The sequence below is a fragment of the Homo sapiens genome, chromosome Y, assembly GCF_000001405.40.
Source record: "Homo sapiens chromosome Y, GRCh38.p14 Primary Assembly".
NCBI lineage: Eukaryota > Metazoa > Chordata > Mammalia > Primates > Hominidae > Homo > Homo sapiens.
In genome coordinates, this window is record NC_000024.10 from 5,577,365 (window position 1) to 5,603,750 (window position 26,386).

General features: G+C 33.9%; 1 protein-coding gene across 5 annotated transcripts in view; it reads left to right on the forward strand.

The window, feature by feature from the left end:
- The window catches only part of PCDH11Y (protocadherin 11 Y-linked), a 741,933-nt gene that overhangs the window by 577,069 nt on the left and 138,478 nt on the right, over window positions 1-26,386 (forward strand). For all 5 annotated transcript variants that reach the window (XM_017030079.2, XM_017030081.2, XM_017030080.2 and 2 more), the window contains one exon: window positions 4,411-4,434. In XM_017030079.2, coding sequence (XP_016885568.1) covers window positions 4,411-4,434 — 24 coding nt within the window. The remainder of the gene's footprint in view (window positions 1-4,410; window positions 4,435-26,386) is intronic.

A 26,386-nucleotide genomic window follows, 5' to 3' on the forward strand; every position in this document is an offset into this window, starting at 1 on the left:
CTATGAAAGAAAATAAGCCATCTGGTATTATGGCACTGCATGAGTTCAGTCAACCAAAATTCTGTTAATGTAGAAAATGGTAATTGCATATTTTGTGAAAATGTTTCGATTCCTAAGGTTTTAGTTACCTCTATAATAAAGGCAACATTATGACTTTTGCTGTTGTCAATTTTCAAATTAATATTTCTTTGATCCAGTAGTAACCTAATTTTTATTGAAACTCAAGGCACAGAGGAATATGGATAGAAACTTTAATATAAAGGGATACATAATTAATTTTATATTTGCAATACTTATTTCACTGCAAATAAGATGCTCATTATGTTAATCACATTGCAGCTTCTCTGTTTGTAGCTTATATGGTTTGGCTGTGTCCCCACCCAAATCTGATCTTGAATTATAGTCCCCATAATCCCCACATGTCACAGGAGGGACCTGGTAGGAGGTAATTGAATCATGGGGACAGTTACCCCCATACTGTTCTTATGATAACGAGTGCGTTCTCAAGAGATCTGATGGTTTTATAAGGGGCTTTTCCCCCTTTGCTTGACACTTCTCCTTCCTCCTGCCATGTGAAGAAGTGTGTGTTTGCTTTTCCTTCCACCATGATGGTAAGTTTCATGGGGCCTTTCCAGCTCTGTGGAACAGTGAGTCAACTAAACCTCTTTCCTTTATAAATTACCCAGTCTTGGGCAGTTCTTTATAGCAGCATGAGAACAAACTAATACAGTAGCCTTAACCTTACACACAATTTGAATAGAAAATTTGATTCGAGCTTCATTATTTTTGTAGTTCAGACTCTATGCAATCTACACAAGTACAACACTGCTACAGTATATTAGTTTTGCACTCAATAGGAGATTCACTGGGGTGATTTGAATTATACATCAAGAAGAATTGAATCTTTTTGGCATATTTTGTAGAATTTTTTAAAATTAGCATTATTCAAAGAGGTATTGGTTTATTAATTTGACACCACAGTCTTCCGTACACTGATTTCATTTTTTTTCATGCTGATTCTGCCATATCCTGTGACCTTCAGTATAAACTACTGTGTGGCTTTGCATAAGAAAATGAGAAACTTGTTCTCAAAAGTTAGCCTGTATCACGGTTGCATATGCTAGTCCATGCTATAGGTGGCATAGGCCTGTAGTCCTAGCTGAGATGGGATAACTGCTAGAGCCCAGGAATTTGGGGTTGTACTGAGCTATGATCTTTCCACTGCACTCCTGCCTGGGCTACAGAGTGAGAACATGTCTCTTAAAGAAACAAAAAAAGCCCATAAGAATAGGATAAACATCAGTTTTCAGATGAATTGAATCTTGACTGATCAGATTTTATTTGTATTAGGAACTATAATAAACATTGTAATTCACTGAATTAAGGAGGAGATATATGCATATGCATAGTGATACTTACATGCAATATTATATTTCAATTGACTCTAGTAGTAAAGATATCTGATTATTTCTAAACAAATGTCTTTGAAAATGTTTTCACTTCTTATTTATTCCAAGAAATAACACTTTTATTTCAAAATGGCTTCATTAATGCAGCTTTATTACATGACTTTAAAATTTATGCATAATAAAACTGCAACTGTTACTTCTTTATTGAAGTAAATGGCAATTATAGATTGATGCATGGTACTTGATCAACAAAGGTTACGCCAACACTGTGAATTTTATGGTGAGTTCTATTGACCTATAAGCTCTTCAACCATCATCTAGTTATTTGGAATTCTCATTTACTTTTAGCCAGATATTTCTAGCTCATATTTAGTACTTAAAATTTGTTTTAGGAATATAAAGGAGATATTAAAATATGTGTGTATGTGATAATGTAGCATGTTTTGGTATTGTTCTCATGATAAATTTTAGTAATATTTATGAAACTCAAAGAGGAGATTTTTTTTCTTTAAAATGTATGTTTTCTTAATTTTGTGGTAAAAGAAGCCTAGTTATTTCTATTGTTTTAGTTTACTAATTAAAATATTTGCTAGTCATTAATTCAGAAAATAATGTTAAAAAACTCAATTATACTCAAAGTAAGAATTTATGCAAACATAATTTTTTATTATTATTGAATTTGTGTAAGTAAAAATAATGACACCTAAACTATCGTTTTTAAATTTATTAACAAATAAATTTAATCACAGAATATTTAATAGCCTAAAAACAATCTTCTTGTTAAAAACACACTTAACTTGTGAGATATGTTCATCTTCCATATTAGACAACTTATGTTTTAAGTTACACATTAGTCATATTATATACCTAGTCATTCATAATATAAAATTTGGTTGGATTATTTATTTTAAAAATTAGTTTCAGTCATAATGATTCACATAGTCTATAGTATTTCAGATGACAAGGACTATGCTGATCTGTTTACCACAAATATCTTGGGCAGTGTTGATGCTTTAAAAATGTCAATGATAAACCTTTAAACCTTAATTAAAAATTACTCTGAGATTTAGAGATACATTTCAAGATGGGCCTTTAGCTTACACAAAAAAGTCCTAATAATTATAATGAATGCATTTCTTAGTGGTTGTTAGTATATAAGATATATATAGATATATATATATACTCCCTTACAGTGGGAAAATGGTTCCTTTTCTGTACCATTTCTCATGTGATGAATTCGAGAAATTCTTCACATTCAGTCTTAAAAGTTTTAAGCCGAATATGCTTATTGTTCTGAATTTTAAGGAAAATTAATCAATATTTGACTTTGGTGGTTTATAAACCAATTTTCACTTTTCAATTTGGGAACTAAAAGTCTTGAATAAGTTGTTAAAATGTGTTTGTTTTCTTTTTTATTGTTGTCACGTCCCATGTTTTGCTTCTTTTATTTGTACTTCCATACTATTAGAAATAAGTCCAGACCCATTACATTACTTATTTTTTTGACCTTTTTAGTTACCAAATTAGAAAGGATTTTTATCACTAAGCTCTAGACAACACTGAAATTGCAGTCTTTAAAAATGAAAAGCACGTACGTTATTACTTTTCTGTTTAAAGCAGTCTTTCTCTTTTTAGAGTTTTGTATATTTGAAAACTCTACACTTAAATATTACGAGTTGATTATGAATTCTAATTAATACAAAATTAGAGTGATTCTGTGTGTGTGTGTTTGTGTGTTTCTTATCATTGAAATAGAATCCTCATTTAAAGTGTGGGGAATTGCAAAATTCTATGTAGAAGATCAATCCTCCCCAAAGTGTTTTATGAAAGCACTATTTAAAAAAAATTTTATACTTCAGCTTGTATTACCATTAAATTACATTGCATACAGATGAAACATCTTGCAATGAGAAATAAATGTGCTGTTTGTCAGTGACACTTAAAAATGTTGTACAATGCTCTTTTATTGATCCTTATTAGTGCATAGAAACATTACTTTCACCTCTATTTTTCTATTCTGCTTTATTCCATCTAAGAATTTCATGTCTTCAGTTTTATAATATTCTAATTTTATTCAAAATAGATTTTTAACAAATTCAAAATGTTTATCTTTAAGCTTTTATCCATAATGGATATTATTAAATAATTCCTAAAATGCAGATGTGATCAGGAAATTATTTATTAATATTGGCTTTAAAATTTTGTGATGAATAAACTTGAGAGTCATCTGTCCAGATCAATACATATTTGGGTGTTTATAAACATACAATTATTTTGTTTAAAAATAGACTTTGCTACTTGTTCCAGGTCAAGCATGATTTCACAGTGTTTTGAAGAAAGTCAATAATGCAAGGCTTGAATTTATCTAGAAAATAATGACAATAATCTCTAATCCCTTATGTCCTAATTGTGAGAAATAATATAAAATTTTAGGTGAAGACAATGGTATTATAGAAAAAGTTTCTTAAGCCATGATAAGAATAATTCTACTGGGCCATTCTCATGCTAGTGCCTGCTGATTTTGGGTTTTTCCTATTACTATTTTATATGTCAGAAGTTTGGGGACAGAGCAACCTGTTAAGTCAAAAACAATGTCTTTCCTTGCTCTACACTTATAGTAGGAGGTTGCGTGAAAGAAACTGGTATGTCAGTAGAGGACTGTGCTTAGCCATCACAGGCGACGAAGCTAGAAAATCTACTGAGTTACTGCAAAATGTTACGTTTAATAACACATCTCCTTTGTGGAAAGCACCAATCATTACTTCCCAGGAAGCCAACATATTGCATAGGCTTGGTCCAATTCTATAAAAATGTATTACAAAATACAAATGTGAAGGAGCAGCAGTCCTACTATGTCTCAATTATCACATTCTTTGTAAAGTGAAGTAGAAAATATATTGCAATACCTTACAAATTATATTTATTTAGGTATGCTAATATAATGTTGTAGAAATAAGAGAAAATATTTATTGTGTTTAACTTTATTAAAATTTCTTTTTAGCTTTCATACCTGGACTAAAGAAAGGTACAGTAGAAATCAACACAAACCATCACCATGTTGCATGTTTCATTTTAAAATGAAGTGCTGATTTGTGTTTAAGAACTGTTTACCTTTTTGCTACTCATAAAACATCAACTGTTTGCTTCAAACACATTTTTGATACATTTAAAATATCTGAAATCTAGGAAGGGCATTCAGTCAGTTGGATATCTTATATATCTGAATGCTTTTTCTAAATTGTGTGTCATCAATCTTTAGATAATAAAATAAATGTGACTCTATAGTTATTTATTTGGCTTAAAGTAGTTACTTTCAAATTACCTATGAATTTATTATTCATTTCTCTCCTCTGATAGTATAAGCATTTTCAGTATTTTGTTTGAGCAGCCATTAAAGATATAATTATATTTTTCTGTATTCTATTCCAATTTGATCTATAAATTGTATATGTTTTCTAAATTACTAACAAAGTTTACATTGTTTATGAATTTGTAAATAATATGTAATATGCATTTTCTTTGCCAAATTATAACACATGGATTACATGGGAACCTATGATAAGTTAAGGTTGACAGACAAAATATTTCTAAAAACATGGAGTTTAAGCAATCAGTTGAAAAATATATATATTTTTTGTGCTGATAAAATTTTAAAATGCTGCAGGATATATTGAATGTTCCAAATATATCTGCACTCATTGTGCATATGCACACATTTCTTTGTTGTCCACTTTATATTTGGTGATGTTTCTGTCCTATTGTTCCACTGTTCTTTATAACAATAATTTATTTCACTCATACACTTTTATCTTAAACTGTAATGTATAATACATTGATGTTTTGATGAAATAGAAAGAGCACTTAAAGAAAAAATTTTCCTGAAATCCGTCATAAACCTGAATTGTTATGTAAGGAAGAAACTTACCTTTAATCTTTAATTTTGACATATTAGCAATATTAACAACATACTTTATCAATTTTTGGTATTTTAAATGTAAAATGTTGCTTTTGACTTTTTACACTGTGTTGGGGTACTTCTTCTGTTCTTCTATAATCAGTTCTAATGTCCATGATACATTTCTGCCTATCATCTGAATAATGAAATGTGATCTCATTTGTCCATCTTTGCTTTGGTTGCCTGTGCCTGTTGGATAATGCTCAAAGAGTTTTCGCACACTCAGATTTCCTGAGGAGTTTCCCCAAAGTGTTCTTCTAGTAATTTCATAATTTGAAATCTTAGAGTTAAGTCTTTAATATGCATTGATTTGATTTTTTTGTGTATGGCAAGAGGTAGCGGTCTAGTTTCATTCTTCTGCATATGGATATCCAGTTTTCAGTTTTCCAGGAAGTATTGATTGAAGAAACTGTCCTTTCCCTAATGTATACTCTTGGAACATTTGTTGAAAATGAGTTTACTGTAGATGAATTTATTTCTGGGTTTTCTATTCTGTTCCGTTGGTCTATATGTCTGTTTTTATGCCAGTACAATACTATTTTGGTTAGTATAGCTCTGTAGTATAATTTGACATCAGGTAATGTGATTTCTCCAATGTAGTTTTTTTTTGCTTAGGATAGCTTTGGCTATTCTGCGTGTTTTGTGGTTCCATATAAGTTTTAGAATTTTTTTTTCAATTAATGTGAAGAATGTCGTGATTATTTTACAGGGGTTTGCATTGAATCTGTAGATTACTTTGGGAGTATGAATATCTTAACAATATTTATTTTTCCACATACATGTAATATCTTTTCATTTTTTGTGTCTTCAATTTCTTTCATCAAAGTTTTACAGTGTTCATTGTAGAGAATTTCACTTCCTTGATTAATTTATCATATTTTATTTTATTTGTAGCTATTGTAAATGGGATAAATTTCTTGATTCCTTAATGTTGGCACATAAACATGTTACTGGTTTTTGTATGTTGATTTTGGATATGAAATCAATATTCATCAGTGATATTGGCCTGTTTTCTTTTTCTGATATGTTGTTGGATTTTGGATACGAAATCAACATACAAAATTACTAAATTTGTTTATCAGTTCTAATCATTTTCTTGTGGACTCTTTAGGTTTTTCTAAATATAATATCATATCATTAACAAACAAGAACAATTTTACTTCTTCCATTTCAACTTGGATGCCCTTTATTTCTTTCTCTTGTCTGATTGCTCTAGCTAGGACTTCCAGTACTATGTTGAATGACACTGGTGACAGTGGTCCTCCTTATCATGTTCCAGATCTTAGAGAAAACACTTTTCGTTTTTTCCCCTTTCAGTATGATACTAGCTGTAGGTCTGTTGTATACGCCCTTTATTATATTGAGGTATGTTCATCCTATACTCAATTCTTAGAGAATTTTTTTAAATGAAGGAATGTTGAATTTATCAAGTAATTTTTCAGCATCAATTGAAATAATCATATGATTTTTGTCTTTTAGTCTGTTGATATGATGAATCACATAGATTGATTTGCATACATTGAGCCATCTTTGCATCTCTAGGTTAAATCCCACTTGGTCATGATGAATGATGTTTTCAATGTGTTGTTGAATTCAGTTTGCTAATATTTTGTTGAAGATTTTTGCATCAATATTCATCAGTGATATTGGCCTGTTTGCTTTTTCTGATATGTTGTTGGTTTTGGTATCAGGGTAATATTAGCCTCATAGAATAAGTTTTGTAGTGTTCCCTCCTTCTCTATTTTCTAGAATAGTTTGAATAGAATTGGTATTAGTTCTTTCTTAAATATTCGTTAGAAGTCAGCAGTGAAACCCTCTGGTCCTCAGCTATTTTTCTGCTGGAAGATATATTTTTTCTTTTTTTTTTTAACTTTTAAGTTCAGGGGTACAAGTGTAGGTTTGTTACATAGGTAAACTTGTGTCATGGGGATTTGTTGCACAGTTTGTTTCATCAACCAGGTTTTAAGCCTAGCACCCATTAGTTGTTTTTCCTGATCCTCTCTCTCCTCCCACCCTCCATCCTCCAAGAGACCCCAGTGTGTGTGGTTCTCCTCTATGTGCCCATGTGTTCTCATAATTTATCTCTCATTAATAAGTGAGAAAATGTGGTATTTGGTTTTCTGGCCCTGTGTTATTTTGGTAAAAATAATGGCCTTAGGCTCAATTCATGTTCCTGCAAAAGACATAATCTTGTTCTTTTTTATGGCTGCATAGTATTCCATGGTGTATATGTACCACATATTCTTTACCCAGTCTGTAATTGATTGACATTTAGGTTGATATCATATCTTTGCTATTGTAAGTAGTGCTGCAGTGAACATATGCATGCATGTGTCTTTATAATAGAATGATTAATATTCCTTTGGATATATTCCCAGTAATGGGATTGCTGGGTCAAATGTTATTTCTGTCTTTAGGTCTTTGAGTAATTGCCACACTGTCTTCCACAGTGGCTGAAATAATTTACGCTCTCACCACCGGTGGATAAGTTTTCCTGTTTCTCTACAACCTCACCAGGATTTCTTACTATTTGACTTTTTTGTAGCCATTCTGACTGGTGTGAGATAGTATCTCATTGTGGATTTGATTTGCATTTCTCTAACAATCAATGTTGTTGAGCTCTTTTCATATGATTGTTGACCACATGTATGTCTCCTTTTGAAAAGTGTCTGCTCATGTATTTTGCCACTTTTTAATGGAGTTGTTTTTTTTCTTTGTAATTTTTTTAAGTTCATTATAGATGCTGGATATTAGACCTTTGTCAGATACAGAGTTTCCAAAAATTTTCTGTCATTCCATAGATTGTTTACTCTGTTGATAGTTTATTTTTGCTATGAAGCAGCCGTTTCATTTACTTAGATCTCATTTGTCAATTTTTGCTTCTGTTGCAATTGCTTTTGGAATTTTTTTTATGAAACTTTTGCCAGCGCCTGTATCCGGAATGATACTGCCTAGGTTATCTTCCAGGAATTTTATAGTTTTGGGTTTTATGTTTAGGTCTTTAATCCATCTTGAGTTTATTTTTGTATATAGTGTAAGGAAGGGGTCCAGTTTCAATCTTCTGCATATGTCAGTTATGTCAACACCATTTATTGAATAGAAAATCCTTTCTTCAGAGCTTCTTTTTTTTTTTTTTTTTTTGGTCAGGTTTGTCAAAAATCAGAGAGTTGTAGGTGTGTGGTCTTATTTCTGGGTTCTCTATTCTATTCCATTTGCCTATGTGTCTGTTCCTGTACCAGTGCCATGCCATTCTGGTTACTATAATCCTGTAGTATAGTATAGTTTGAAGTCAGGTAGTATGATACCTCTGGCTTTGTTCATTTTGTTTAGGATTACCTTGGCTATTAGGGCTATTTTTGGTACCATATAAATTTTTAAATAATTTTTTAAAATTTTATTTCTGTGAAGAATGTCATTGATAATTTAATAGGAATAGCATTGAATGTATACATTGTTTTAGGCAGGATGACCATTTTAATGATATTGATTATTTCTATCCAGGAGCATAAAATGTTTTTCCATTTGTTTGTGTCATCTCTGATTTCTCTGAGCCGTGGCTTGTAGTTCTCCTTGTAGAGATTTTTCACCTCCCTGGTTAGCTGTATTCAAAGGTATTTTATTCTTTTTGTGGCAAATGTGAATAGGCATCTGTTTGTGGCTCTCAGCTTAACTGTTGTTGATGTATAGGAATACCAGCACTTTTTGCACATTGATTTTGTGTCCTGAGACTTTGGTGAAGTTGTTTAACAGCTTCAGAAGCTTCGGGGCTGAAAAAATGTTTTTTTTGTTTGTTTTTTTTTTTAGATATAGGGTCATGTCATCTGCAAACAGAGATAGTCTGACTTCCTCTCTGCTGGAAGATATTTATTATGGCTTTGAGCTCATTATTTGTTATGGATATGTTCAGGTTTTGGATTTCTTAATGGTTTAAACTTGATAGGCTATATGTGTCTAGGATTTGTCAATTTCTTCTGGCTTTTTCCATTTATTGGCATATAGTTGCTAATAATGGCCATTAATCATCTTTTGAATTCCTGTGGTATCAGTTGTAATGTCTCCTTTTACAACTCTGGTTTTATTCAGGTCTTCTCTCTTTTCTCTTAGTCTGGCTAAAGGCTTGTCAATTTTGTTTAACTTTTAACAAAACAACCTTTTTATTTCATTGATCTTTTGTATTGATTTATTTGTTTTGATTTCATTGATTTATCTTCTATTATTATTCTTTTTCTTCTATTAATATTGGATTTTGTTTGCTCTTGCTTTTCCTGTTGTTTAAGATGCGTCGTTAGGTTGTTTACTTGAAGTTTTTCTCATTTTTTAGTGTAGGCACTTACAGCTATAAACTTCCCTCTAAGTACTGCTATTGCTATATCCCATAGGGCTCAGTATGTTGTGTGTCCATTATAATTTGTTTCAAGAATTTTTTCAAATTTCTTTTTAATTTCTGCATTAACATACTGATCATTCAGCAGCATATTGTTTAATTTCTATGTGAGTGTATGGTTTCCAAAATTCCTCTTGTAATTAATTTCTAGTTTTAGTCCATTGTGGTGAGAGAAGGTGCTTGATAATTTTTGACTTTTTTGAATGTTTTAAGAATTGTTTTTTGAGCTAATATATGACCTTTCCTTGAGAATGATCTCTTTGCTGAGGAGAAAAATGTGTATTCTGCAGCAGATGGGTGAAATTTTCTGTAACTATTAGGTTTTTTTGTTCTATAGTGAAGATTAAGTTCAATTTTTTTTGCTGTTGCTGTTGTTGTTGATTTTCTGTCTGAAAGGTCCAGTGCTGAAAGTGTGGTGTTTAAGTCTCCACCTATTACTGTATTGGGGCCTATCTCTATCTGTGGCTCAATAATATTTGCTATATATATCTGAGTGCTGTAGTATTGAGCACATATATATTTACAATTGTTATATCCTTTTCCTGAATTGACCCATTTATCATTATATAGTGACTTTCTTTGTCTCATAGTTTTTATATTGAAATATAATTTGTCTGATATAAGTCTAGCTACTACCACTCTTTTTTAGTTTTTATTGGCATGGAATATCTTTTACCATCTGTTTATTTGCAATGTATGAGTGCCTTTAAATGTGAAGTATATTTCTTGTAGGCAATAGATTATATAGTTTTTTTAATCCATTAATCCACTCTATGCCTTTTGATTGGAGAATTTAGTTGTTTTTACATTAAATGTTATTATTAACAAATAAGGGCTTATTCTTGCCATATTGTTATTTGTTTTCTGTTCATTTTGTGGCCTTCTCTTCCTTCTTTCCTTCCTTTTTTCTTCTTTTAGTTAAGATGATTTTCTCTGGTGATACAATTTAGTTTTTTTTTTAAATTTTTTGTCAGTCAGTTATCTGTTTTTTGATTTAAGGTTACCATGAAACTTGCAAATACTATCTTATAACCCATTATTTTAAGCTAATAATAATTTAACACTGTATAAACAAACAAACATAAAAATGTAGAGAAAACTCATAAACACTCTACATTTTATTACCCTACTTTTTAATCTTTTGTTGTTCTTATTTATATATTGTTATACTGTCTAGGTCTTGAAAAGTTGTAGTTATTATTTTTTATTGGTTCCTGTTTTAATATTTCTACTTATGATAAGAATAGTTTACACACCAAAGTTACAGTGTTATAATATTCTGTATTTATTGTGTATTTACTATTACCAGTCAGTTTTGTACCTTTGTATGAATTCTTGTTGCTCATTAACATTCTATTCTTTTTAATTGAGGCACTCTCTTTAGTATTTCCTGAAGGACAGGTCTGGTGTTGTTAAAATCCTTCAGCTTTTGTTTTTTGGGGGAAGTCTTTATTTCTCCTTCATGTTTAGAGGATATTTGCACCAGATATACTATTATAGAGTGAAAGTATTTTTTCTCCAGCACTTCTTTAAATATGTCATGCCACTCTCTCATGCCCTGTAAGGTTTCCACTGAAATGTGCTGCCAGATGTATTGGTGCTCCATTGTATGTTATTTGTTTGTTTTCTCTTGCTGCTCTTTCTAAAATAATCCTTTCTTTATTTTTGACCTTTGGGAGTTTGATTATTAAATGCTTTGAGATAGTCTCTTTTGGGTTAAATCTCCTTGATGTTCTTTGGGCTTCTTATACTTGGATATTGATAATATTTCACTAGGTATTGGAAGTTCTCTTTTATTATTTCTTTGATAAAACTTCCTACTCATATCTCTTTCTCTACCTCCTCTTTAAGGCCAGTTACTCTTAGATTTGCTCTTTTGAGGCTGTTATCTAGATTCTGTAGTTGTATGTCATTACTTTTATTCTTTTTTCTTTACTTCTGTGTATTTTCAAATAGCTTATCTTCAAGCTTACTAATTCTTTCTTCTACTTGATCAATTCTGTTATTAAAAGACTGATATTGTTTGGCTGTGTCCCCACCCAAATCTCATTTTGAATTGTAGCTCCCATAATTCCCATGGGTTGTGGGACGGACCCAGAGGGAGGTAACTGAATCATGGGGATGGGCTTTTCCCATGCTGTTCTCATGATACTGAATGAGTCTCATGAGATCTGATGGTTTTATAAAGGAGAGTTCCCCTACACAAGCTCTCTCTTTCCTGCTGCCATGTGAGATGTAACTTTGCTCTTCCTTGCCTTCCACCATGATTTTGAGGCCTCCCCAACCACATGGAACTGTGGTTAAACTTCTGTTACCTTGTAAGTTACCTAGTCTCGTATGTGTCTTTATCAGCAGTGTGAGAATGGACTAATACAAAGACTCTTATGCATTCTTCAGTATGTTAATTGCATTTTTCAGCACCAGAATTTTTACTTGATTCATTCTAATTATTTCAATCTCCTTGTTAAATTTATCTAACAGACTTCTAAATTTCTTCTCTGTGTTATCATTGAATTTCTTTGAGTTCCCTCAAAACAGCTATTTTTAATTCTCTGTCTGAAAGTTCACATATCTCTATTTCTCCAGGATTGGTCCCTGGTGCCTTATTTAGTTTATTTGGTAAGGTCATGTTTTCCTGGATAGTCTTGATATTTATGGATTTTCATCTGTGTCTGGGCATTGAGGAATAAGGTATTTATTGTTATCTTTGCAGTAGGGACTTGTTTGTACTCATCTTTCCCAGGAAGGCTTTCCAGATATTTCAAAGAACTTTGATGTTGTGATCTAAAATATATCTGTATTAGAGAACGCAAGAAGCCCGAAGCCCAGGACAACTTTTTAAGTTTAAGAACTAAGTAACTGTGGTTCTTGCAGACTTGTAGAGGTACTGCCTTGGTGGTTTTGGACAACATCCAGAAGAATTCTGTAGATTATCAGGCAAAAACTCTTGTTCTCTTTTCTTACTTTCTTCCAAAAAAAAAAAAAAAATGGAGTCTCTCTCTCGCTCTCTGTTCTGAGCTGCCTGGAGTTATTGGTGGAATGACACAAGCACCTCTGTGACCACCACTACTAGGATTGTGCTGGGTCAGACCCGATGCCAGTACAATACTGGGCCTCACTCAAGGCCTGATACAACCTCAACTTGACTACTGCCTATGTTTTCCCAAGGCCCTGGGGCTCTACAGTAAGCTGCTGGTAAGGCCTTTCAGGCCTGTGTTCTTCCCTTCAAGATGGCGAATTTCCCCAGGCCCCAGGTATGTCCAGATGTGCCATCCAGGAGCCAGAGACTAGCATTAAATACCTTAGATGTCTAAGTGGTATTCTATTGTACAGCAACTGAGCTGGCACTCAAACCACAAGATGCAATCCTTCCCACTCTTCTTTCCTTTTTCCAAAGGTAGAGGAGTTTCACCCTGTGGCCACTGCCAACATGAGGCCATGGAGAATACTGCCAAGCTATTGCTGATGTTTCGTTTAGGTCCAAAGTCTCTTCAGTCAGCTTGTGATGATTGATACCTGGCCTGGGACTCACCCTTCAGAACAATGGGCTCCTCTCTCACCCAGGGCAGGTCCAGAAATGCTGTCCAACATCCATGTCCTAGATATGGGGACCTCAAGGGTCCACTTCGTGCTCTACTCCACTGTGGTGAGCTAGGACTTAAGGTCCAAGACAAAGTTCCCTTTTCCCTCCTCATTTCTCAATCAGAGGGAGTCTTGCCCCCTACACACACAGCAGGAAATGTGCTGATTGTAGCCTGAGTCCAACAAGTCTCAGAATTTCACCCCAAGGCACTAGAAGTATTGCTTGGGTATTATTGCTGGTCATTAATCTTCTGTGATCATTATTTGTATTTCTGTGGGGTCAGTGGTAATATCTTCTTTGTCATTTCTAATTGTGTTTATTTGGAACTTTTCCCTTTTTTTCTGTATGAGTGTACCTAGAAATCTGATATGGTTTGGCTCTGTGTTCCCCTCAAAATCTCATCTCAAATTATAATCCCCATGTTTCCAGGGAGGAACATGTAATCTCCATGTGTCAAGGGAAGGAGGTGATTGGATCATAGGAGCAGTTTCCCCCATGGTGGCCTTGTGATAATGAATGAGTTCTCACGAGATCTTATGGTTTTATAAGTGTTTGACAGTTTCTCCTTCACATGTTCTTTCTCCTGCCACCTTGTGAAGAAGGTACTTCCTTCCCCTTTGCCTTCTGCTATGATTATAAGTTTCCTGAGGCCTACCCAGCCATGTGGAACTGCGAGTCAATTAAACTTCTTTCTTTTAAAAATTACCCACTCTCAAGTATTTCTTTATAGCAACGTAAAAATGGACTATTACACAATCTATTTCACTAATTAAAAAAAAAAACCTCCTAGATTCATTCATCTTTTGAATGTTTTTTCCTGTCTCATTTTCCTTCAGTTCAGCTCTGATTTTGGTTATTTCTTGTCTTCTGCTAGCTTTGGGCTTGGTTTGATCTTGCTTCTCTAGTTTTCTTTAGTTGTGATGTTAGGTGGTTCAACTGAGATTTTTTTAACTTTTAGATGTGGGTATTTAGTGCTATAAATTTCCACTTTAACACTGCCTTAGTTGTGTCCCAGAGATTCTGCTATATTGTATCTGTGTTCTTATGAGTTTCAAATAACTTCTTGATTTCTGCCTCAATTTCATTATTTACCCAAAAGTCATTCACAACCTGAGCAAATTATACAATTTCCATTTAATTGTATGGTTTTGAGCAATTTTCTTAGTCTTGCTTCCTAATTTGATAGTGCAATGATCTGAGGGAGTGATTCTTATTATTTCAGTTCTTTTGCATTTGCTGAGGAGTGTTTTGTGTCCGATTATGTGGTCAATTTTAGAGTATGTGCTGAGTGGCATTGAGAATAATGTACATTCTGTGGTATTTGGGTAGAGATTTCTGTAAATGTCTATTAAGTATATTTGGTCCAGTGCGGAGTTTAGTTCCTAAATATCTTCATGAATTATCTGTCTAATACTGTCAAAGGGTGTTGAAATCTCCCACTATTATTTTGTGGGAGTCTAAGTCACTTTGATGATCTCTAAGAACTTGTTTTATGAATCTGAGTGCTAATGTGTTGGGTGCATATATATTTAGGACAGTAAGTTCTTCTTGTTGAATTGAACCCTTTACCATTATGTGATGCCCATCTTTGCTTTTTTCTATATTTGTTGGTTGAAAATATGTTTTTTCTGAAATTAGGATTGAAATCCCTGCTTTTTTGTTTTCCATTTGTTTGTATATTTTTTTCTATTCCTTTATTTTGAGCTCATGGGTGTCACTGCATGTGAGATGTGTCTCTCAAAGACAGCATAACAATGGGTCTTGGTTCTTTATGCAACTTAACAGTCTGTGCCTTTTAATTGAGAGCATTTAGCTTGTTTACGTTCAAGGTTAGTACTGATATGTATGGATTTGATTCTATCATCATCATGTTAGCTGGTTATTCTGCAGACTTGTCTGTGTGGTTCTTCATAGCGTCACTGGCCTGTGTAATTCAGTATGTTTTTGTAGTGGCTGGTAACTGCCTTTCCTTTCCATATTTAGTGCTTCTATCAGAAGCTCTTGTAAAGCAGGTTGGTTGGTAATGAATTCCCTCAGCATTTGCTTGTTTGAAGATAATGTCATTTCTCCTTCATTTAGGAAGCTTAGTTTGGCCAGATATGAAACTCTGGGTTGAAATTTCTTTAAGAATGTTGAATATAGACCCTCAATCTTTTCTGGCTTGTGAGGTTTCTGCTGAGAGGTCTGCTGTTTGTATGATGGGGTTCTCTTTTTAGGTGACCTGACTCTTCTCTAGTTGCCTTTAATTTTTTTTTTTTATTTTGACCTTGGAGAATCTGATGATTGTGTTTGGAATGATCTTCTTGTAAAGTATCTTACTGAGGTTCTCTGAATTTCCTGAATTTGATTCTTGGCTTGTATAACTAGGTTGGGGAAGTGACCATGGATGATATCCTGAAATATGTTTTCAAAGTTGCTTCCATTCTCCTCGTCTTTTTCAGGGACAACAATGCTTCATAGATTTGTTCTCTTTCCATAATTCCATTTTTTTGGAGGTTTTATGTATTCCTTTTAATTCTTTTTTCCCTATTCTTGTCTGACTGTATTATTTTAGAAAGCCGACCTGCAGACTCTGAGATTCATTCCACAGCTTGGTCAATTCTGCTATTAATACTTGTGATTGCATTATGAAATTTTTGTAGTGTGTTTTTCAGCTCTGAGAGCTCAGTTATATTATTTTCTATAAAGACCTATTTTGTTTGTTAGTTGTTGCATCATTTTATTATGATTCTTACCTTCTTTGAATTGGGTTTCAATGTACTCCTGCATCTCAATGATCTTAGTTTCTATTCATATTCTGAATTCAATTTCTGTCATGTCAGCTTTTTCAGCCCAGTGAAGAACCGTTGCTAGAGAGTTGGTGTGGTCATTTGGAGGAAAGAAGACACTGTGGCTTTTAGAGTTGTCAGAGTTCTTGCACTGTTCTTTCTTGTCTTTGTGGGCTGATGTTCCTTTAGTCTTCGAAGTTGCTGTTTTGTGAGGTTTTTTGTTTTTTTTTTTTAATCCTATTAGATGCCCTTGAGGGTTTAGTTGTGGTACAAGCTTAGTTCAGTCAACTGGCTTCATTTCTGGAAGAATTTGGGGGGCCAAGTCTCTGCTCCCAACTTCTATACTACGTGCTGTAACTCTGGGAGACTGGTATTGGGCCCTGTCTTTGTTCTCTGGCTCCTCAAAGTTAGGAACCCAATGTGCTCGGAAGGCTGAAATGCTCCCAGACTACTGATCACTACACTTTGATGGCTGGTGCCAGCCAAAACATTTGGTAGGTCAGTGGCAGTGGGATCTGTCCTTGTTTGCATGTGCCAGCAGCAGTGACAGTGGCAGCACTGTGTGGTACCTGCATGTTGGCTGTGGCAGGGCACCTAGTGGGTATTGGGGTACTGGTCTCCCTACACACATTCACAGCAGCGACAGAGGCAGCATGGCTCTCTAGGATGGGGATCCCCTCTGGTGACTGTGCATGTGGTCATACTGGTGGTGGTTTTAGCGCAAGGGCTGGACGCTGTCAGGTGCAGGTCTTTGTGCACCCTCTATGTGCATTCATGCAGGCAGAGGTCCCCACTCAGGGAATGTGAGGGTCTGCTGTTCTCTGTTCCTGGTTTCACTCTGGAAATAGCATTGGCACAGGGGCAGGGGCCTGGCAAAGGTGGGGCTGCTGGGCTCTGTGCCCACCAAGGCTCTGACTGCAATGACAGTACAGTGGGGAGAGAGGAGGTGGAGTGAACTCATGCTGGCAGCAGTGGAAGGGCAGGGTTCACACACACACACACCCCACACACACACACCCCACACACACACACCGAGGGGACACGGAATGCAAAAGCCACCTCACACACACTCACCAGCAAGGCAATATGGGGAAGGGCCGTGGGCCTGAGGGTAGATGCAGTTGAGGGAGGGAGGGTGTGAGCTAGTGCATGGCCATGGGCTTTGCTCTGCTGGAGCTCTCTGCCAGTGTGGTGCAGTCCACCAGTGCAGGAGCTATGATGTGGGTCCCCAGGGCACCAGAGGTTGCACCGCAAAGAGGCAGAGTCAGGCTGGGCCTCTGGGACAGGCCAGCAGACCAAGGGGTGCGCAGGTTGGACCATCCCCTTCTGATGGGCCTGCAGAGTTCAGGCCTGACAGTTCCTCTAGGGATAAATTCTCCTATTAGAGCAAGTCAAGCCTCGGGGGTGAGAGTCCCTGACCATGGTCTGCTACAGACGCTCCCACACCAAACCCTCTGCACTCCTCACTGGATGAAAGGCTGCCCTTACTACTTCTCTAAGCAGCTCTCTCTGCCAACGCAAGTGTCTGTGGTAGTCAAGTGGTTTCCTACTGCTGGGATTCCAGAGGTCCATGGTGAGTGCTAATTGCTCCTTGCCAGTTCAACTTACCTGTTCCCTTAGAGTTACTGGGGGCCAGGAACGAGTCCTGCTGCACAGTAGCCCCTTGCAGTATTCCCAGCTTCCTCCCTCTTCAGCCCATTTTTGTCTTCCCTTTGTCCACTCTCAGTGCCTTTCCTCTGAAGATCTGTTAGGAGTGCAGCAGCTGTCAGGATCCCTCAGTGGCAGCCGTTCCACCTGGCTGCTTCTAGTTGGCCATCTTGCTCAGCTCCAATCATTTAACCTCTTAAAGTCTGTTTACTCATTTGTAAAATATAAATATCAATAGCAAGTATCACAAATAATTTAGCACTGCCCCTTAGACATCGTAGATGTTAAATATTATGCTAATACAATAATAGCATTCTTATTTTTCCATTATTTTTTTTCTAGATTGAACTTTTATTGGCTACCCACTTAGCTTTTAGGCAAAATCAATTTCATTTTGTTTTTATTTCAAATATTAATAAAAGAGGCACTGCTTGTTTTCATTAACCTGTGAAATAATTTTCTATGAATTAGAAAATACAGCTGTGTGCATAATTCTGTTCTTTTATCATTATTAGTATTTTCAGCCACTTTTAAGAAACAGAGGAGATAATTTTTTTATGAGTTTATCAAGTTATCTTGTAATTGTTAAATACACCTTGAAGTCTCCATTCCCATAACTAAATCTGGTTTGTCTTTTACCTTTAATTAAGCTAACCTCTCTGTTTAGTAAAGTCTAACTGTGAAGATGATAAGCCAGGTACCAATGTTTAACTTGCATTTTTTTAGCATATTTTAAAACTTCAGTGAAGTCTTGATGTAAATGAATAGATGTATGTATATAAATCTATGGTTATAGTATCTGTTACTCACACATGTCTCATTAAAATTATTGGGAACATTCTTCCTTTACTTTGTTTTTCTCTTAGTCTTCAAAGTTTTATGTGTAGACTCCTTATAAATAGTTTAAATCAGATTGTTAGTAATAAAGAGGAAAATCACTTTAAGAATCTGACAGCAATGTTTGCATTTTAACATCCATGGGAACAGTATATTGTGTCTAACTTAAGTATCTGACACCAAACATTAAACATAATATTTCCTTTCTAATCTTATCCTTTGATACATTTTAGTGTATGAGGTATTTCAAGGAAAGATGTGAAACATGTAAATTAATTGTCTTTTTTATCCCTCAAAGATAACCAAGGTATTTATTAAATTCCCTGAAGCCGTATGACAAGACATACATCTAAACTCAAACTAAATTATCTGGCTCTTGTAAGCTTTATGTTTGACATCATGATAATCCATATTTTGTTCTTTTACAAAAGTGATGCAACGAATTTATAAATTAACACAGAGACATTGGTTACAATAATTTCATAAAGACAAAGAGAAGCCTCACAATTGTGACACCGGGCTTGTTTGACATTCCTTGTACCTAAACAATTTATTACCTTTTACACTATAGTCAGAGGTAGTGAACTATTACTGGAAAAATGGTATTTTCTCCATGCATTGGAATTTGAATTATTCCTCAAAGGCAGTTCTTGCAGTGGGTAATGTTCCTCGTGTTGTCACTTGGCCAACAGACTGTACCTTGGCATGGGAAAATTTGTCAGCTTTTTCACATGTGACACAGATGTTGCTTTTAATGATGCATTTAAATAATTTTGCATAGAAAGGGAAGATAAGATTACATAAAAAGAAAAATAGTTATTCAAGACTTATGAAGGCTCAAGAAACTGGAGAGCCAATAATACACTCTGAATAAGGTCTATGATCTTTCACTTATGAAGAATTTACACCCAATTTTCATAAATTACATATCGATGTGTTATAAATTATGTACTTTATTTTATTTATAAAATTATGTCCAACATTTTGCTAAAGTTCATTATACAAATTCCGAAACAAACAATAGTTTATTTTAGATTTGGTAGTTTAATGATGCCATTCATTTAACGTAAATATGTTTCATTGTGAAAGAACATGGGAAGAAAAATGACTTTGTCATACATATATCTTGTCACATTTGATCCAGCAATCCCACTACTGGATATCTACCCAGAGGAAAAAATGTCATTATATGAAAAGGATACTTGCACAGGCATGTTTATAGCAGCACAATTCACAATTGTGAAAATGTGGAACCAGCCCAAATGCCCAGCAAACAATGAGTGAATAAAGAAAATCTGTGTGTGTGTGTAAGTGTATATATATGTATATATATGTGTATATATATGTATATATGTATATATACGTATGTATATATGTGTGTATATATATACGTATATATATGTGTGTATATATATACGTATATATATACATATATATGTGTGTGTATATATATATACGTATATATATATGCTAGATCGAATGGTACATCTACTTTTAGTTCTTTAAGACATCTCCATACTGTTTCTCAAAGGGGTTGTACTAATTTAGATTCCCTTCAGCAGTGTAAAAGTGTTCCCTTTTCACCACATCCATGCCAACATCTATTAATTTATTATTTTTTCATTATGGCCATGTTTGCCAGAATAAGGTGGTATCATATATATATATGTACATACCATGGAACACTACTCAGGCATAAAAAGGAACAAAATAATGGCATTTGCAGCAGCCTGGATGGAATTGGAGACCATTATTCTAAGTGAAGTAACTCAGCAATTGAAAATCAAACCTCATATGTTCTCACTCATAAGTGGCAGCTAAGCTATGAGGACGCAAAGACATAAGAATGATACAATGGACTTTGGGGACTTGGGGGAAAGGGTAGGAGAGGGGTGAGAAATAAAAGACTACATATTGAGTACAGCATACACTGCTTGGGTGATAGGTGCACCAAAATCTCAGAAATCACCACTAAAGAACTTATTCATGTAAAAAATTTTTTTTAATGTGATTGCTGTATAAAATGAGGAGGAAACATAAAAAAGGATGAGTATAAATTAAGACTTTAGATGAATATTCTTAAATTGTATTAAAACTGATTTCTATCAAAGACCAATATAAATTTTTGAAATTGTTTCTTTAAAAATTAATTATACATATTCATTTTCATACATTTATTAATACATATTTGTTTGTATTTACATATAAAATGAGGTCTGAGATTTTTCAGACAATAAGATTTCATAGTTATTTCAATAATTACTATTGTAGCAAAAATTATAAATATAGGCAATCATATTTGGAGCAATCTTTCATTGTTTATATGGCTCAAATTTTTAAGTATATTTAAATTCAAGTTTTTAAGTATATTTAAAAAGATGTCTAACATAAATATATAATACTGTATTTACCCCAGAAACATTAGTAATTAATGATAAGAATAATGACGTAGGAAAATATCAGGAAGGCTTCATCTATTTTGTAAAAATGTTCACATGTTTTTACACATCATAAGAAGCACATTTACAATGAAGAATAATTTGGCCTTTATAATAATGTAACAAGATGACATAATTGCTCATCACAATTAGAAGCTATCTTTAAGGTCTGAAAGGACAAGCAATCTATCTGAGTCGATGTATTATTTTGAGTAATCAATGAAATTTCAGTTACTTGTGATAATAAAGATAATATTATTTTTCTTTAAGATATAGCCTTGCATAATAATAGAAAGATTGATGAAATGGCCAGTTATGTTAAACTTAGAAGAAACATTTCTTCTAGAAAAGAACATCTTGTAGTTCTCGAAACTCATTTTTTTCTGTCAACACAGCAAAAATTGAAAATATGTAAAAAGTGTTACTAAATGTAGAGCTGAAAATGTAGAGCTGAAAGCCTCTTCAGCCTGCCTATTGAATTAGCAAATACAAAACTGAGTACTTTGATTGATATCACCCTGCCAAAGATTCAGCCAAGAGAATTTGGGTAGCTTTATTAAAGCTGGGTTGGACGGTGAGTCTGAGCATTAATTTTTTATGTAGTAGAACACAGGGTCAAAGCTTGCCTTCTGGGACTGCCTTTCCTTGTACTATAATAGATTATCAGATTGAAAAATACTATCAGAATACAGAACAGAGTATAGAGATTAAGTGCTAGCTATTTATACATCAAGAAACATGAATTATTTTGATGGCTGTTGTTATTATGTAACATAACAGTAACTCCCCCAAATACCCAAACAATAAGAAAATGTAAATTATCTATTTTAACTGTTAACTGGACGGTGGAGGTGAGTGAGATTCACTGATTGAATGGTACAAAAGGCATTATATTTAACATAGAAAGTTGTACATTTTTTACAATCTTATTTATGAACACTTGCATTATGGTTGAAAATGAAGGCTTTCATGAAAATAAGCCTATATAAATATATAAAATAATATGCAGGACACATGTGACCCTTATTTATTCCCCATTAGTTTTTTATAGTTTGAACGTCTAATAGTTTCGATTTTTTCATCTGAAAATGTGCAATAGTAATGTGTTAGAACAAACATTTGTGAAACACTTATATCACAAATGCTCAATATATATTGGTTTCTCATTGCAATAAATGACTGCAAAGTCATTAAAAGTAAAAATCATTGACATAAATGCAAAGATGTGAAAAAGTAAATTGACTCTCACAAGTCACAATTTAAAATATCTATACACTTCTATTTTTAAATTTCTTTTTAGAATAAAATGTACTAACTCTATCCATTATGCTCCAACTACAATTGCATCATAATTAATAATTGATGTATTTTCTCGCTGTATCCATTCCATATATTTCCAGGAGAGCTATTTTGCTTGCCAAATATTGATATAAGCAAATAAACTTACCAAATATTTCTGATTTTTTATTATCACTCACCCAATCAAGGTACAATTTGAGAACAACATTTTTAGCATATATTAAGCAGAGGTAAGATCATCATCTTGTCAAAGAAGGATTTTAGTATATCTTTTTAGAGATAATGTATTGCACTTTTCCAAGTGTCATATAATACTTTGTTAAATTTTAAATTGAAGTATTACATTGTGAAGCCACAGAACTCCATGATTATAGATAAAGTGCTTTTCTTAGCAAAGCTTAACTGACATGACAAATATATAGTTTTTTATTATCTCTGAGAAATATGCTTTTTTTTTTTTTTTTTTTTTTTTTTGAGACAGAGTTTCACTCTGTCGTCCAGGCTACAATGCAATGGCATGATCTCGGCTCACTGCATCCTCCGCCTCCTGGATTCAAGCAATTCTCCTGCCTTGGCCTCCAGAGTAGATGGGATTACAGGCATGCACCACCACGCCTGGCTAATTTTTGTATTTTTAGTAGGATGGGGGTTTCACCATGTTGGCCAGGCTGAACTCTGAGAAATATGCTTTCTACTTTTTTGTTTAATTTGAACTTGAAAACAAAACACACACAACTTCCCAATTGGATTAGACTATTAACATTTCAGAAAGGATGTAAGAAAGGACTAGAGAGATATACTTAATGTTTTTAGTTTTTTAAACTTTACAAACTTAATACTGTCATTCTGTTGTTCAGTTAACATCCCTGAATCCTAAATTTCTTCAGATTCTAAAACAAAAAGTTCCAGATGATTTTATATTACACTATTTACTTAATGGTACTTAAATCCTCATTAAAAAAAACAGTACGGTTGTTAAATAATTCTTCCATTAGAAATTCTGAGCCTTTACTCTGTGTCAGGCCTTGTGGTAGGAGCTGGGCTTCAGAAATAAGTATACTGCAATCTGATTCCGGGAAATATTTAGGTTCATAAATAGATAATTTTAACATAATATAGTAAGGGAAGATGGAGGTATAGAAAGGGTTTTCACCTCTGGAGAAATAAGAGGGGTATTTAGAATAGGTCTCTTAACTAAGAGGCCTAACATTTTTGTCTGTGAATCCATAATATTGGCAAACTAATAATGTGTACACACCACTGACAACAATACTTTATCCTTTGATGAATACCCTACAATGGTGTGATTGAATTGGCTTCCAATTAATTTCAAATTCTATATATCACGAAAAGGTAGATATATACCAGAAGGCATCTCACTCTGTTGCCCAGCAGTGCAGTGGCACAATCATGGCTCACTGTAGCCTAGAACTGCTGGGCTCAAGTGATCCTCCTGCCTCAGCCTTCCCAGTAGCTGTGACTATAGGCATATGCCACCACTCCTGGACTTGGATAATGTTTTATTAGAATCATATAGCATAATGATATCTTTTGTTAACCTCTCAACATCAGTATCATCTTTGTGAAGTGAGAGCGCATCATCAGATTATAAGAAATGACAGGAGGACTGTATACTTGGGAAAGTTTTGTTCAGTGTCTTGAGAATTAACAAATATTTATTTTTCTAGAATAACTTGAATGTAAGCTCACTAGAATGTAAGCTCTATGATGGCAGCAGTCTTGTCTGAGTTGTTCACTTGTGTTTCTGTAGTTCCTTCAACAATATCTAGCACATAGAAGGTTTTTAATAAATATTCATTCAGTGAATTTCTACTTAATGTAGCAATCATTTGTCTATTCCCTTAGTAAAGTCTAATTGATCTAGGTATCTTACAAATATATACAAGACCTGGACATGATAACTAAGGTAGAATTTTTTTAGCTAATTAGCTACTGGAAAACTCAAATTAGTAATTATATATATTTTTATTATATACCTGTATGTGTTATTATATATTTATACCTCTATCTATTAGACTCAGGCAAGCTTGAGAAAGTTGTTGTTTGTATTCTAAATTCTGTATTCAAAATAGTTTCAATCTGGCCTGCAGAAAAAGTTGAATTAGTCTCAATATAAATACAACAAAACCCTTATTGCCAAGGAGAGGCATATACCATGCAAATTCTGATCTGAGGGAATTTCAATTGTTTCAAAAGCCATGATATTTGGGTTCCTCTGGATTCTAGCATTACATAAACAGGAAGAGAGGTGAAAATAAGCAGTAGTGATATAAAGAAGTTTCAGGATGGCAATTTGAAATCACGTATTCCAGCTCAACTTTCTAGAAAGTGACACCTGCAGCTTTGTGGGGGTGTCTTCATGCACAAGCTAAATTGTACCTGTTCCAAATGGCCAGATGCACCTATACTCTGAATGTGGGTATACACCCACATTTACCAAGCATTTTAAAATATGCTCTTTAAAGCATAGTTTTGTATCCATTCTGATGACTTCTAGCCTGTAAACACAGGACCCGTGTTAATTTAACTTTTAGTATCACAATAGAATGACATTTTTTAAAGTATAGTTATGATGGTATCATACAACCAGAAATCTAGATGTGAATGAGGTATTTCACTCACTTTTGACCTCTTCTGCTTTACTCCTATGTCCAAAAAAAGAAAACAAGGCATGGAGGTATATTTCTGGCATTATAGGTGGGTGAAAGGCACCCACTATGAGCTCTGAGCCGAAATGTTTGCCACAGGCTTAAATAACTAATTAGGCTTGGGGAAGAGAATGGCTACTTAGAGACATACACCTATAAACTCGGGCATATTTACGCTAGCATATTCATTTACCACAGAATTTATTTATCCCTTATCTCTTCTCTCATGATATTTCTGTATTTTTCTTCTTGGGCAGAGCCAAGTTTTGTGAGTTTATTTGGTCATTTTCTGCATGTATCCCTACTCCTGCTTTTTTTTTCCCCTTCAGATCCACATGCAGCTCAACAGAGGACATAATAATATATCTCTTCTTTCTCACTCTCTTCTGTTCTTACCATCAAAAATATTCCTAAACCATCTACCTCTCCACCTTTTTAATCAGTTTTACCTATTTCATTTTTGAAAATAAGAGGAATTATGCCACACAATTTGTATATATATATAAATTTTTATATATACACATATATATAAAAATTTATACTTACACATATATATATATATATCCATTAAATTGCTAATATTATCACATCAGCCACTTTACTAAACAACATGATCTTACTTGGACCCAACAAATAATTAATTCTGGTATGTTATTTTTAACATCTATAATTATATAATAATAATAACACTAAGAACAAAAACAACAATAACGACATAATAGTTTTTGCAAATAAAATTGATATTCAAGGCAGAAAGATATACAACTTTGTAAGCATAGTAAAGCAATATAACCCTTCTTCTTGTAAAAAAGCAGAAAAAAGTTTTCCTGATACATAAACATAATAGTTTATAACTGATGCTAGTAGATGAAAGAATAGTCAATACATTCTTAGTACTTCCAATGCTAAGAACTTGCCCAAAAGAGATAGGAGAGATCCTTGTCCTGAAAGAGTAATGAGAACATCAGAGTCAAGTTAGTAGAGAGGTAAGGACATGAATTATTTTTGGAGTAGATCAACTAATTATATGATTTGTAACAATAAAACTTAAAATATAATTTGTATTTCCTAAATTTCTACAGGTTTTTCCCTCCACATATCTTTACGTCACATATTCTGCGCTATTTTTCTTCCTTGCATTTATTGTGATGAAGCTGTCAAGTTTATGTCAGAAATAGGCATTTACAATGAACAAAACCTACACTGTGAATCTGGATGCAGGATGAAGTTATGCGCATCTAGGAAATAACATGCTACATCCTGTATCGATGATCCTGAAAGATCTTCGCATTTACAATGAACCTGTCATCAGTAGAACTTAAGCCAGATGTCAGAAAGAGAGTCCAGAGACCGTGGTTCTCTATGTAATACACAGAATGGAAATGGCATGAACAGTG